The sequence below is a fragment of the Homo sapiens genome, chromosome 11 (genome assembly GCF_000001405.40).
Source record: "Homo sapiens chromosome 11, GRCh38.p14 Primary Assembly".
In the NCBI taxonomy this organism is placed as follows: Eukaryota; Metazoa; Chordata; class Mammalia; order Primates; family Hominidae; genus Homo; species Homo sapiens.
This window is the reverse complement of record NC_000011.10, coordinates 664,283-678,927: the sequence shown is the minus strand read 5'-3', so window position 1 is coordinate 678,927 and position 14,645 is coordinate 664,283. Positions and strand designations below refer to the sequence as shown.

The 14,645-nt window shown below is 49.6% G+C and overlaps 1 protein-coding gene across 14 annotated transcripts in view, besides 2 other annotated features; it reads left to right on the top strand.

Annotated features, from left to right (window-relative positions):
* Positions 1-14,645, top strand: part of DEAF1 (DEAF1 transcription factor) — a 62,851-nt gene that overhangs the window by 28,156 nt on the left and 20,050 nt on the right. For 13 of the 14 annotated variants that reach the window (XR_007062436.1, XR_007062437.1, NM_001367390.1 and 10 more), the window contains 2 exons: positions 106-234; positions 4,145-4,392. Coding sequence is in view for 12 of the 14 variants with exons in the window: in NM_001367390.1 (NP_001354319.1) it covers positions 106-234; positions 4,145-4,392 (377 nt within the window). In the remaining 2 variants the exon portion in view is untranslated. The remainder of the gene's footprint in view (positions 1-105; positions 235-4,144; positions 4,393-14,645) is intronic. The other variant, NM_001440884.1, reaches the window with a different exon arrangement.
* Positions 1,750-2,249: an enhancer, noted in NCBI's record as "H3K4me1 hESC enhancer chr11:676679-677178 (GRCh37/hg19 assembly coordinates)". NCBI's record gives its function as "activates a minimal SCP1, AML or CMV promoter by ChIP-STARR-seq in naive H9 embryonic stem cells {active_cell/tissue: H9 hESC(naive)}" and the evidence as "EXISTENCE:reporter gene assay evidence [ECO:0000049][PMID:30033119]".
* Positions 3,812-5,011: an enhancer, noted in NCBI's record as "BRD4-independent group 4 enhancer chr11:673917-675116 (GRCh37/hg19 assembly coordinates)". NCBI's record gives its function as "activates an origin of replication core promoter dependent on BRD2, P300/CBP, MED14 and CDK7 cofactors, and independent of BRD4, by STARR-seq in HCT116 cells {active_cell/tissue: HCT116}" and the evidence as "EXISTENCE:reporter gene assay evidence [ECO:0000049][PMID:35650434]".

The following is a 14,645-nucleotide window of genomic DNA, read 5'->3' as shown; positions in this document are numbered from 1 at the left end:
ATAAGCTACTATGTGTACTGAATGGCGCAGCCATACAGCGTGATATTTAGAGTCTGCTGTGCGGACAACCATCCCGAGCCTCCCTGTCCTTTTTCTCCCCAACAGTCCAAGAGGCCAGCGTGCAGCCCCCATGCAGGGCCAGCCACCCTGAGCCTCACTACCCCGGCTATCAGGACAGCTGCCAGATCGCACCGTTTCCAGAAGCTGCGTTGCCAACGTCACATCCCAAAATAGGTAGGTTTGAAAGAATTCACACATGTACAGGTTATTGTCCTCAGAATTGCTTCCAATGAAAGAATTCCTAAGTGAAATGGGATTCATTTTGGTTTGGTTTGTTGTTTTTGTTGATGCATTAGATCAGTGGCTGGTAAAGTGTGGCCCACTGCCTATGTTTGTAAATAAAGTTTTACTGACACACAGCCACGTCCATTCATGTGTGTGCTGTGGAAGTTGCTTTTGGTACAGCAGCAGGGCACGCCCCTAGAAACCAGTTGGCCTGTGAAGCCTGAAGTTCTTTCTGGTGAGTTTGCTGTTGTCCTCTTGAGGGTAGACACTCCCCAGTGGCAGGTCTTGGTCTCTCCAGAGCTGGCATAGACATTCGGTATCTGGTGAAAGAAAGAAAAACCAAGGCCTAAATGTGGCCTAAATCTTTAAAATGACGATACACTGTAAATGCATTCTAACTTTGATTTTTCGTTTAACTGCACTTCTATTTTTTTGAGACTGAGTCTCGCTCTATTGCCCAGGCTGGGGTGCAGTGGCGCAATCTTGGCTCACTGCAACCTCTGCCTGGTTCAAGTGATTCTCCTGCCTCAGCCTCCCAGGTAGCTGGGATTACAGATCTCGAACTCCTGACCTCAAGTGATCCATCCGCCTCAGCCTCCCAAAGTGCTGGGATTACAGGTGTGAGCCACCACATGCAGCCAAGATTTCTGTATAATTATACGTTTTTTGTTTTTTTTTTTGAGACAGAGTGTCACTCTGTCGCCCAGGCTGGAGTGCAGTGGTGCGATCTCGGCTCACTGCAACCTCTGCCTGCCAGGTTTAAGCAATTCTCCTGCCTCAGCCTCCTGAGTAGCTGGGACTACAGGTGCACGCCACCATGCCCAGCTAATTTTTTTTTGTTATTGTATTTTTAGTAGAGATGGGGTTTCACCATGCTGGTCAGGCTGGTCTCAAACTCCTGACCTCATGATCCACCTGCCTTGGCCTCCCAAAGTGCTGGGATTACAGGCGTGAGCCATCGTGCCCAGCCATCATTATACTTTTTTAAAGGGTGCATATGATCAATACATGATTGATTGAACCCTCCCCTGCTGGTGGCAAATGCATGTTTTCCATTTTTCACTGTCACAGACAGCGCAAGAAACTTGTTCATGAAAAACTTACCTTTTCATTTTCATTTGCTTGTTTCATTATTCTCTCTTTTGCCTATCTAAACTCTTTCCATCTTTAAAGCTTACCTCAGGGCTGGGCGTGGTGGCTCATCCTTTTTTTGTTTTTTTTTTGAGATGGAGTCTTGATCTGTTGCCCAGGCTGGAGTGTAGACTTCAGGCACGCGCCACCATGCCCGGCTAATTTTTGTATTTTTAGTAGAGATGGGGTTTCACCGTGTTGGCCAGGATGGTCTTGATCTCTTGACCTTGTGATCTGCCTGCTTTGGCCTCCCAAAGTGCTTGGATTACAGGCGTGTGGCTTACCTGTTTAATCCCAGCACTTTAGGAGGCCGAGGCCAGGAGTTTGAGACCGGCCTGGGCAACATAAGGAGACCCCATCTCTATTAACTGGAAAAAAAAAAAAAGTGTGGGGTGGGTGTTGGTGAAGTATTTATACCAAGAAATCAGCAAATGCTTGAAATCAGAGCTTTTTCTCCAGGAGGGCTGGGGTTCGCATCGACCGCTTGCCCCTGGTACAAGGTGTGCATGTGGCTCCTGGATCTCTGTCCCCAGGTGCCCTTGGTGGGCAGAAGTCAGAAATGTTCTCATGTGCACGTGTGCGTGTTTGTGCTCCAAATCTGTGTGTGTTGAAAACCATGAGTTTGCCCCAGTGTCTCTAGTTCCAGTGCAGAACCTCAGGGTTTGTGCTAGTTCCTTTGTAACTTTCTTCTCCAATTGTAAGAAACCCCGCTGGGCGTGGTGGCTCACGCCGGTAATCCCAGCGCTTTGGGAGGCCGAGGCGGGTGGATCACCTGAGGTCAGGAGTCCGAGACCAGCCTGACCAACGTGGAGAAACCCCATCTCTACTAAAAATACAAAATTAGCCAGGCCTGGTGGCAGATGCCTGTAATCCCAGCTACTCGGGAGGCTGAGGCAGGCGAATCACTTGAACCCGGGAGGGCAGTGAGCCAAGATGATGCCACCGCCCTCCAGCCTGGGCGACACAGCGAGACTCTGATTTAGCCACTTCCCTCCCCTGGTCATTGTCCACGGCGCTGATTCTGCGAACATTTCAGGGTCCAGCAGCCGCATTCAGATGAGTTGTACAACATGGAGCTGGGTGGGTGGAGCAGGAAGGGATGGGACATCCTCCTGCCTGTGTTGCCTGCTGGGGGGATGTCAGGCTGAGTGCTCGGGGATGTCAGGTGCTGGGGGGATGTCGGGTGCTGGGGGGATGTCGGGTGCTGGGGGTGTCGGGTGCTGGGGGGATGTCAGGCTGCGTGCTGGGGGATGTCAGGTGCTGGGGGGATGTCAGGTGCTGGGGGTATCGGGTGCTGGGGGATGTCAGGCTGAGTGCTGGGGGATGTCAGGTGCTTGGGGATGTCAGATGCTGGGGGGATGTCAGGTGCTGGGGGTGTCGGGTGCTGGGGGATGTCAGATGCTGGGGGGTGTCAGGTGCTGGGGGGGATGTCGGGTGCTGGGGGGTGTCGGATGCTGGGGGTTGTCGGGTGCTGGGGGGTGTCGGGTGCTGGGGGGTGTCGGGTGCCGGGGGGTGCCAGGTGCCCCGGGGGATGTCGGGTGCCGGGGGATGTCAGGCTGCGTGCTGGGGGATGTCAGGTGCTGGGGGGTGTCAGGTGCTGGGGGGATGTCAGGCAGTGATTTGTTGTTTGCTGGTCAGTTTTTTACCCGACTTCCCAACATTGCGTGAGAGTTTTCTTTTCTTTTCTTTTTTGAGATGGAGTCTCACTCTGTCACCCAGGCTTGAGTCCACTGGCACCATCTCGGCTCACCACAACTTCTGCCTCCCAGGTTCAAATGATTCTCATGCCTCAGCCTCCCAGGTAGCTGGGATTATAGACGCTTCCACGCCTAGCTAATTTTTGTATTTTTTGGTAGAAATGGGGTTTCACCATGTTGACCAGGCTAGCCTCGAACTCCTGACCTCAAGGGATCTGCCCGCCTCGGCCTCCCAAAGTGCTGGGATTACAGGTGTGAGCCACTGTGCCTGGCCTCTTTTCTTTTTGAGACAGGGTCTCATTAAGTCACCAAGGCCGAAGGACGGTGGCGCAGTCATGGCTCACTGTAGCCTCGACCACCTGGGCTCAAACCATCCTCCCGCCTCAGCTTCCTGAGTAGCTGGGATCACAGGTGAATGTCACCATGCCCATCTAGTTCTTTGTTTTTGATTTCTGTTTTGTAGAGGCAAGGTCCTGCTATGTTGCCCAGGCTGGTCTTGAACTCCTGAGCTCAAGTGATCCTCCCACCTCAGTCTCCCAAAGTGCAGGGATTACAGGCATGAGCCACTGCACCGGGTGATGAGAATTTTTATTTATTTTTTATTTTTAAATTTTATTTGTTTATTTTTTTGAGATGGAGTCTCACTCTGTTGCCCAGGCTGGAGTGCAGTGGTGCCATCTCTGTTCACTGCAAGCTCTGCCTCCCGGCTTCACACCTTTCTCCTGCCTCAGCCTCCCGAGGTAGCTGGGACTACAGGCGTCTACCACCACGTCCAGCTAATTTTTTGTATTTTTTTTAGCCAATTTTTTGTATTTTTTTGTATTTTTTTAAACACAGTGAAACGCGGGGTTTCACTGTTAGCCAGGATGGTCTCGATCTCCTGACCTCATGATCCGCCTGCCTTGGCCTCCCAAAGTGCTGGGATTACAGGCGTGAGCCACCGCGCCCGGCTGAGAATTTTTAACGGAGGCCATTTTGAAGCTAGGAGATGTATTAATTTCTTGGTTTGTTTTGCTTTCCAAATGCTCTAGTGTTGACATCCCTGCCTGCGCTGGCGGTCCCACCCCCGACTCCCACCAAAGCGGCACCTCCCGCGTTGGTCAATGGGCTGGAGCTGTCAGAGCCGCGGAGCTGGCTGTACCTAGAAGAGATGGTCAACTCCTTGCTCAACACAGCGCAGCAGCTGAAGACGCTGTTTGAGCAAGCCAAGCATGCCAGCACCTACCGAGAAGCTGCCACAAACCAGGCCAAGATCCACGCTGACGCAGAGCGGAAGGAGGTAACCTTGGAACAAATGGGAAGACACGACCTGTGCCGAGTAACCCCAGGCCACCCTGGTGCCTGTGCCCAGCTGCGCAAGCCCCACCTTGGCTCACAAGGCCCCTGCCCCACCTTTCTGGAAAAGGGAGCTGTGGAGAGTCATTTACAAATGAAGCTTTTCCTAAAGAAAAGTGACAGCTATTGTTGTTAAGGTGGTTTTGGTTTTTGTAAATAAGGTTGCTTTGTTTCAGAAAGGGAAACAATTTTGTGCGCATCGGCCGTTGTGAATACTCACCTTTTCTAGGCATTATTCATCCTTTGTCTTCCTGTAGTGAAATGTGCTTATATTTTATGAAGTTTGGAGAACATCATCTATTGAGTCTCTGAGTATCAGCGACTGGCAGGGCGAATGCTGAGCCCCTTCCTGGGAGCCGAGCTCCGTCCATCTGCTGTCACAAAGCCCTCCCAGCTTCTGGCACGTTCTTCAGAAGGCGGCTCCTGTGCATGGTGGGAGGCTCACAGGGCGTAGTGCCCATGTTTTCTGTAGCTTCCTATTACTGCAGCACAAGCAAAAGGTCACTTAGGCCCCTTCGGCCTCTTTTCATATGGAGTCTCTACTTCATATGAACCCTTTACTTAGATTGAAGACTTTGAGGTAATATAAAGGTTCAGGTGGGTGACATGAATAGGGTAGATAGAAATTACTAGAGCCAGAGTAAACTGGAGAGAGGGTGGAGGTTTCTCAGCTACTTCTCATAGCCCAAACCCAGCAGACAGGTACCGTGTGTCACAGGGCACGGGGACGAGAAGGTGAGAGAGGAGGGCGCCTGTCTGCTCAGCACAGATGGGGAGCTCTGAAGGCCACAGGAAAGGACAGGGATGGATTTTGTTGTAGCTGCTTTTTCGGGTACGGTAACGTGGACTTTGGTTTGTAAACAAAAGTCAAATTCATATTTTTCCCACCAAATCTATGTAAGAAACGTTTTCCCCCATTTCTTTTCTACTTTCTATTTTTATTTTTATTTGTGGAACAGGCTGTCACTCTGTCGCCCAGGCTAGAATGCAGTGGCACAATCTCGGCTCACTGCAACCTTTGCCTCCCGGGCTCCAGCGATTCTTGTGCCTCAGCCTCCCAAGTAGCTGGGACTACAGGCACCCACCACCACACCTGGCTAATTTTCTGTATTTTTGGTAGAGACGGGGTTTTACCATGTTGCCCAGGCTGATCTCACACTCCTGAGCTCAGGTGATCCACCCGCCTCAGCCTCTTAAAGTACTGGGATTGCAGATGTGAGCCACCATGCCCAGCTTCTACTTTTTATAGAAGAACTTTTTATTTATGTATTTATTTTATTATCATTATTTTTTTTTCAGCTGCTGCTTTATTTTACTTTATTTTATTTTTTGAGACGGAGTCTCGCTCCATCACCCAGGCTGGAGTGCAGTGGCACGATCTTGGCTAACTGCAACCTCCACTTCCTGGGATCAAGCAATTATCCTGCCTCAGCCTCCCAAGTAGCTGGGACTACAGGCGCCTGCTGCCATGCCTGGCTAATTTTTGTATTTTTAGTACAGACAGGGTTTCACCATGTTGGCCAGGCTGGTCTTAAACTCCTGACCTCAAGTGATCTACCCGCCTGAGCGTCTTAAAGTGCTGGGATTATACGTATTTATTTATTTATCTATTTAAAAAAAATTTTTTTTTTTGAGACGGAGTCTTGCTGTGTCGCTCAGGCTGGAGTGCAATGGCACAATCTCAGCTCACTGCAGCTTCCTCCTCCCGGGTTCAAGTGATTCTCCTGCCTCAGCCTCCGGAATAGCTGGGATTACAGGCATGTGCTACCACACCTGGCTGATTTTTTGTATTTTTAGTAGAGACGGGGTTTCACTATGTTAGCCAGGCTGGTCTTGAACCCCTGACCTCAGGTGATTCACCCACCTCAGTCTCCCAAAGTGCTGGGATTACAGGCATGAGCCACCTTGCCCGGCCTATTTATTTTTTAATTTTTAAATTTTTCTGTCATTCAGTGCACATCAGGTACTTGTTATAGATTCTACTAGACAAGCACATAACGAACAGTGATTATCATCCCAGGCCGTATTCAATGTTAGGGGTTTGTTACGGATTCTACTAGACAAGCACATAATGAACGGTGATTCTCAACCCAGGCCGTATTCAATGTTAGGGGTTTGTTACGGATTCTACTAGACAAGCACATAATGAACGGTGATTCTCAACCCAGGTCGTATTCGATGTTAGGGGTTTGTTACGGATTCTACTAGACAAGCACATAATGAACAGTGATTCTCAACCCAGGTCGTATTCGATGTTAGGGGTTTGTTACGGATTCTACCAGACAAGCACATAACAAACAGTGATTCTCATCCCAGGCCGTATTCTATGTTAGGGGTTTGTGTAGTTTCCCCAGGACCTGTAGTGGTGATTGTCCAGAAGCCTTCCATAGGAGGAATGCATGGTCATTAGGTATGCCACAGCTCCAAACACCAGCAACACCACTCAATGACTATTGAGGTAATGACAGTGACACTGCAGCTCCACATGGCTGGGGAGGTCTCACCATCATGGCAGATGGCAAAGCGGGAGGAAAGGCATGTCTTAATGGTGACAGGCGAGCAGAAGAGCTTTTTAGATTCTTAATTTTTTAAATGACTGATCAATATGTGATTAGTGTTTTTTGTGTTTCTTTTTTTTTTTTTTTTTTTTTTTAAGAGGTAAGGTCTCACTCTGTTGCCTAGGCTCATGGCTCATTGTAGGCTCAAACTCCTGGAAATACGGGTGCATGCCACCACGCTTGCCTAATTTATTTTTTTATTTTTTATTTTTTGTAGAGACTGGGTCTTGCCGTGTTGCCCAAGGTGGTCTCAAACTCCTGGGCTCAAGAGATCCTCCTGCCTCAGCCTCCCAAAGTGCTGAGATTACAGGCGTGAGCCACTGGACCCAGCATTAATTTTCTTTCAAGGAAGAAAAGTGTTTCTACTCCTGAAGACAAAGATAATTTTAAAATACTTTTTCACTGGGCACAGTGGATCACACTTGTAATCTCAGTGCTTTGAGAGGCTGAGGTGGGAGGATCTTTTGAGCCCAGGAGTTTGAGACCAGCTTGGACAACATGGTGAAACCCCGTCTCTACAAAAAAATATAAAAATTAGCTGGGTGTGGTGGTGGGCACCTGTAGTCTCAGCTACTTAGGAGGCTGAGGCAGGAGACTCACTTGAACCCAGGAGGCAGAGGTTGCAGTGAGCTGAGATCGGGCCACTGCACTCCAGTCTGGCGACAGAGCAAGACTCTGTCTCAAAAAACAAAAAGTCCAGGCGCGGTGGCTCACGCCTGTAATCCCAGCACTTTGGGAGGCCGAGGCGGGCGGATCACGAGGTCAGGAGATCGAGACCATCCTGGCTAACATGGTGAAACCCCATCTCTACTAAAAATACAAAAAATTAGCCGGGCGTGGTGGCGGGCGCCTGTAGTCCCAGCTCCTTGGGAGGCTGAGGCAGGAGAATGGCGTGAACCCGGGAGGTGGAGATTGCAGTGAGCCGAGATCGCGCCACTGCACTCCAGCCTGGGTGACAAAGTGAGACTCTGTCTCAAAAAAAAAAAAAAACATTAGCCAGGTGTGGTGACATGCCAGTCAAGAGGCTGAAACGTGAGGATTGCTTGAGCCTAGGAGGTTGATGTTGCAGTGAGCCGTGATCACACCACTGTACTCCAGCCTGGGCAACAGAGTGAGACCTCGTCTCAAAAAAAAAAAAAAAAAACAAAAACAAAAAGAAAAAAGAAATTAAAAAGGAAAAAAATAAAGAAAAAGATATATATATATTTTGAGATGGTCTTGCTGTGTCACCCAGGCTAGAGTGCAGTGGTGTGATCTCGGCTCACTGCAGCCTCCATCTCCCAGGTTCAAGCGATTCTTGTGCCTCAGCTTCCCAGATAGCTGGGATTACAGGTATGTGCAACCACGCCCAGCTATTTTTTGGTATTTTAGGAGAGAAGAGGTTTCGCCATGTTGGCGAGGCTGGTCTTAAACTCCAGGCCTCAAGTGATCTACTTGCCTTGGCCTCCCAAAGTGTTGGGATTACAGGTGTGAGCCACCGCACCTGGCCAAAAAAATACTTTAAAAAAAAAAAAAAAAAAGTATACTTCCAAACAAACAGCTACTTAATGCTGAAATTTATAGAGGAAAAGAAAGTTTAAAGGCAAAAAAATCTATAACCCTGCACCCAAAGATAATGACCGTGAACACTTACTGTGTGTCCTTTTGGTCTTTTTTGGTAATTGAGGTAAACTGTATGTACAGCAAAGTGCCTCAATCTCCACCATAAAATGTAGTGAGTTTTGATGAATGCATGAACCTGGTCATGAGACCATTTCAATCCCTGCAGAAGCACCACTCATGTCCCCTTCCATCGGTCCCCTGCCCCATGGACAGTCACTGCTCTCATTTTTTTTTTTTTCTTTTCTCTTTTGAGGCAGCATCTCACTCTGTCACTCAGGCTGGAGTGCAGTGGCATGATCTTGGTTCACTGCAGCCTTGCGCCACCATGCCTGGCTAATTTTTGTATTTTTTGTAAAGATGGGGTTTCTTTTTTTTTTTTTTTTTTTTTTTTTGAGACAGTCTCACACTGTCACCCAGGCTGGAGTACACTGATGCAATCTCGGCTCACTGTAGCCTTCGCCTCCCAGGTTTAAGTGATTCTCCTGCCTCAGCCTCCCGAATAGCTGGGATTACAGGCACATGCCACCATGCCCAGCTAATTTTTGTGTTTTAAGTAGAGACGAGGTTTCACCATGTTTGTCAGGCTGGTCTTGAACTCCTGACCTCAGGTGATCCTCCTGCCTCAGCCTCCCAAAGTGCTGGGATTACAGGCATGAGCCACCGCACCTGGCCTCTTTTTTTTTTGAGACAAGTTTCGCTCTTGTTGCCCAGGCTGGAATCCAATGGCACAATCTCGGCTCGCCATAACCTCCACCTCCCAGGTTCAAGAGAGTCTCCTGCTTCAGCCTCTCAAGTAGCTGAGATTACAGGCATGCGCCACCACGCCCAGCTAATTTTGTATTTTCAGTAGAGACAGGGTTTCACCATTTAGGTCAGGCTGGTCTTGAGCTCCTGACCTCAGGTGATCTGCCCACCTCGGCCTCCCAAAGTGCTGAGATGACAGGTGTGAGGTACTGCACCCAGTTGATTTTCTAGATTTCCTACCACAACTGATTTCTAATTCAACTCCAATATGCTTAGAAAATATACTCTGATTTCAGTTCTTTTAAATTGATTACGATTTATTTCGGCCAGGCATGGTGACTCACACCTGTAATCCCAGCACTTTGGGAGGCCAAGGTCTTGAGGCCAGGAGTTTGAGACAAGCCTGGACATTGTGAGACCCTGTCTGTACAAAAAAAAAAAAAAAAAAAAGGGTCGGGTGCAGTGGCTTACGCCTGTAATCCCAGCAGTTTGGGAGGCCGAGGCGGGCAGATCACAAGGTCAGGAGGTCGAGACCATCCTGGCTAACACAGTAAAACCCCGTCTCTACTAAAAATACAAAACATTAGCCAGGCATGGTGGCAGGCACCTATAGTCCCAGCTGCTCAGGAGGCTGAGGCAGGAGAATGGCATGAATCCAGGAGGCAGAGCTTGCAGTGAGCCGAGATTGCACCACTGCAGTCCAGCCTGGGCTACAGAGCGAGACTCTGTCTAAAAAAAAACAAAAAACTTTTTTTTTAAAGGGTTTCACTTTGTCACCCAGGCTGGAGTACAGAGGTGTGACCTCGGCTCACTGCAGCCTCAAGTTCCCAGGCTCAAGCAATCCTCTTGCCTCAGCCCCCCAAGTAGCTGGGACTATGGGCATGTGCCACCATGCTTGGCTAATTTTTGTATTTTTCATAGAGAGAGGGTCTCACTGTGTTGCCAGGCTGATCTCAAACTCCTGAGCTCAAGCCATCCACCCACCTCAGCTTCCCAAAGTGCTGGGATTACAGGCATGAACCACTGTGCCCGGCCAAAATGTTTCCTTCATTAGCCGGATCACTGGAGCCCAGGGGTAGAGGTTGCAGCGAGCTGTGATCACGCCACTGTGCTCCAGCCTGGGCAACAGAATGAGACCCTGTCTCAAAAAAACAAAAAGATGTGTTTTATGATCATGTATATACTTTTCGTGGTGAATATTGCATATACACTTGAAAAGAGTTTTATTCAGTCATTGGTTTTCGTTTTCTGTAATGTCATTAGGTCAAGGTGGTTCATAGTGTGGTCCAAATCTTGTTTTTCTTCAACCTAAAGATGTACTTTCAGCTTTTCTTTTCATATAGGTCTGTTGGCCATGAATTCTCTGTTTTTGTCTGTAATGTCCCTCTTTCACCTTTATTTTTGAGGGACGTTTTTGAGTGACATGGAATTCTGGGTTGTCACTTACATATATATATTTTTTTGAGACAGAGTCTCGCTCTTGTTTTCCAGGCTGGAGTGCAGTGGCACAATCTCCGCTCACTGCAACCTCCATTTCCCAGGTTTAAGCAATTCTCCTGCCTCAGCCTCCTGAGTAGCTGGGACTATCGGCGTGCGCCACCACACCCAGCTAATTTTTGTATTTTTGGTAGAGACGGGGTTTCGCCATGTTGCTCAGGCTGGTGTTGAACTCCTGGGCTCAAGTGATCCACCCGCCTGGGCCTCCCAAAGTGCTGGGATTACAGGCATGAGCTAACACGCCGGCCTATTTATTTATTTATTATTTTTTGAGACAAAGTCTCACTCTGTCACCAGGCTGGAGTGCAGTGATGCCATCTCGGTTCGCTGCAACCTCCGACTCCCTGGTTCAAGCGATTCTCCTGCCTCAGCCTCCTGAGTAGCTGGAATTACAGGCACACACCACCATGCCCAGCTAATTTTTTGTATTTTTTTATTAGAGACAGGGTTTTGCCATGTTGGCCAGACCGGTCTTGAACACCTGACCGACCTCAGGTGATTCACCTGCCTCGGCCTCCCAAAGTGCTGGGATTATAGGCATGACCTACCTGGGTTGTCACTTTTTATCATTCACCAGTTTAAAGATGTCTTTCCATCATCTTCTGGCCAGCCTGCCTACCTGCCTTCCTTCCTTCCTTCCTTCCTTTCCTCTTTTCCTCCTTCCCTCCTTCCCTCCCTCCCTCCCTCTCTCCTTCCTTCCTTCCTTCCTCCCTCCCTCCCTCCATCCCTCCCTTCCTTCCTTCTTTTTTCTTTCTTTTTTGAGACAGGGTCACTGTCTGTCACCGAGGCTAAGAAGCAGTGTTGTGGTCACATCTCAATGCAGCCTTGAGTTCCTGGGCTCAGGTGATCTTCCCTTAGCCTCCAGAGTAGCTAGGACTACCGGCACTGGCCACTACTCCCGGCCAATTTTTAGCTGGGGTTTCACCATGATGCCCAGGCTGGCCGCAAACTCCTTGGCTCAAGCGATCCTCTTACCTCAGCCTTCTGAGTAGCTGGGACTACACATGTGTACCACCATGCCCAGCTATTTTTTTGTTTGTTTTGTATAGATGGGGTTTCACTATGTTTCTCAGGCTGGTCTTGAACTCCTGGACTCAAGCAACCCACCTTCCTTGGCCTCCTAAAGTACTGGGATTACCAGCATGAACCACTGCTCCTGGCTATAACTATTTCTTTTTTTCTTTTTTTTTTTTTTTTTTTTTTTTGGAGACAGAGTCTTGCTCTCCAGGCTAGAGTGCAGTGACACGATCTCAGCTCACTGCAAGCTCTACCTCCCAGGTTCAAGCGATCTCTTGCCTCAGCCTTCCAAGTAGATGGGACTACAAGTGTGCACCACCACACCTGGCTAATACTTTGTTGTTTTGTTTTGTTTTGAGACGGAGTCTTGCTCTGTCGCCCAGGGTTGGAGTGCAGTGGCACGATCTCAGCTCACTGCAACCTCTGCCTCCCGGGTTCAAGTGATTCTCCTGCCTCAGCCTCCCGAGTAGCTGGGACTACAGGTGCATGCCACCACTCCTGGCTAATTTTCTGTATTTTTGGTAGAGAGGAGGTTTCACCATGTTAGCCAGGATGTTCACAATCTCCTAACCTCGTGATCTGCCCGCCTGGGATTACAGGTGTGAGCCACCGTGCCCAGCCTCAGGATCTGCTTCTTTTGGCTACTTTTTCCCTTCATCATGGATCCTGTTATCCCTTCTTCACACGTCCAGTACTTCCTGATTGTGTGTTGGAATTTTAGTTTATATACTGTTTATATGGTAGAGTTTATATGGTAGAGACTCTGAATTTTGTTGGATTCTGTTGTCTTCCCCTGAAGAGTGTTGGGCTTTGTTCTCGCAGGCTGAATTCTTATGGATCACCCTGAAGAGGATCAGTGTTGATGCTGTTAGGGCAGGTCTGTCTGGCTTTTTCTTCTGCCTGACACATCCTTAGTCTTGGATCTGCGAAGCTGTGGTTTTCTGGATGTTCCTGGGAAGTCCGTGGTGTTTTTAAGCCTCTAACTTGTGAAGGTTCAAACTCCAGACTTTCAGGTGGTGAGCAGCAGCCGCAGTCTCTGCTCAGTGTTCTCGGTCTTCAGCCGTCCATTTCTGCTGAGTCTTCCCCACATGCTGTGTCATCAGCTCAGGGTCAAACAAGGACGTGGGGAGCGTTTATGTGCTGGATGGGAGTGTCCTCTCTCTGTGCTTGCTCCTTTCTAGGGTTTCTCCCCTCATTTTCCAGCCACTTTGTCAGCTCTGGCCAGGGTGACTGCAGCCTGCTACCACGGTGTGGCCGCCCATGTCTGGTGGCCTGGGGCTGCCTCCAGGAGAAGCCTTCCTGGCTCCATCTCCCTGCTACGTCACCTGTCCCTGCTATGTCACCTGGCTGCCTCTCTCCCCTGCTCATTTGGCAGCCAGAGTGTCTGATGCTGCTGCGTCAGCTGGGTCCCTGCCCTGAAAGGCTGGGCTTTGAATTTTATTAGTAATTTTATGTATTTCTATGAGAGAAATGTGGCATGAAATCCCTTTATCCTTAAAATCCCGTTTGGTAGACAGCCAAGCCTTTTAAAACGTTAGAAAGGGCGGCCCCTTTCTCAGCTGGAAGCAGCTGTTGCAGTGAACATCCCGTGCATCTGAAAATGTCAGGAGTTAGAAGAAATGTCAGGAAGTGTTAGAAGCGATGTGTTCCCTTTCTCTAAAGCTGTGTATCGGACGTGTCATTCATAAAGCCATTACTTGAATAGCTGAGCCAGGACTCAGAGGCTCTGAGTGTGACACCCTGTCCTCCTCCTCTCAGTGTGAATAGCTGAGCCAGGACTTAGTTAGAGTGACCGAGTGTGACACCCTGTCCTCCTCCTCTCAGTGTGAATAGCTGAGCCAGGACTTACTTAGAGTGACCGAGTGTGACACCCTGTCCTTCTCCTCTCGGTGTGAATAGCTGAGCCAGGACTTACTTAGAGTGACCGAGTGTGACACCCTGTCCTCCTCCTCTCGGTGTGAATAGCTGAGCCAGGACTCAGAGTGACCGAGTGTGACGCCCTGTCCTCCTCCTCTCGGTGTGAATAGCTGAGCCAGGACTCAGAGTGACCGAGTGTGACGCCCTGTCCTCCTCCTCTCGGTGTGAATAGCTGAGCCAGGACTCAGAGTGACCGAGTGTGACGCCCTGTCCTCCTCCTCTCGGTGTGAATAGCTGAGCCAGGACTCAGAGTGACCGAGTGTGACGCCCTGTCCTCCTCCTCTCGGTGTGAATAGCTGAGCCAGGACTCAGAGTGACCGAGTGTGACGCCCTGTCCTCCTCCTCTCGGTGTGAATAGCTGAGCCAGGACTCAGAGTGACCGAGTGTGACGCCCTGTCCTCCTCCTCTCGGTGTGAATAGCTGAGCCAGGACTCAGAGTGACCGAGTGTGACGCCCTGTCCTCCTCCTCTCGGTGTGAATAGCTGAGCCAGGACTCAGAGTGACCGAGTGTGACGCCCTGTCCTCCTCCTCTCGGTGTGAATAGCTGAGCCAGGACTCAGAGTGACCGAGTGTGACGCCCTGTCCTCCTCCTCTCGGTGTGAATAGCTGAGCCAGGACTCAGAGTGACCGAGTGTGACGCCCTGTCCTCCTCCTCTCGGTGTGAATAGCTGAGCCAGGACTCAGAGTGACCGAGTGTGACGCCCTGTCCTCCTCCTCTCGGTGTGAATAGCTGGAGTCAGGACTTAGAGGCTCCGAATGTGATACCGTTTCTGTCTTCCTCCTCTCAGTGCCATGGCTTGGGGTGGATACTGCTTCACACTCCTTCAGGGTGGCCCAGACACAGTAGGTTTCATTTTCCTTT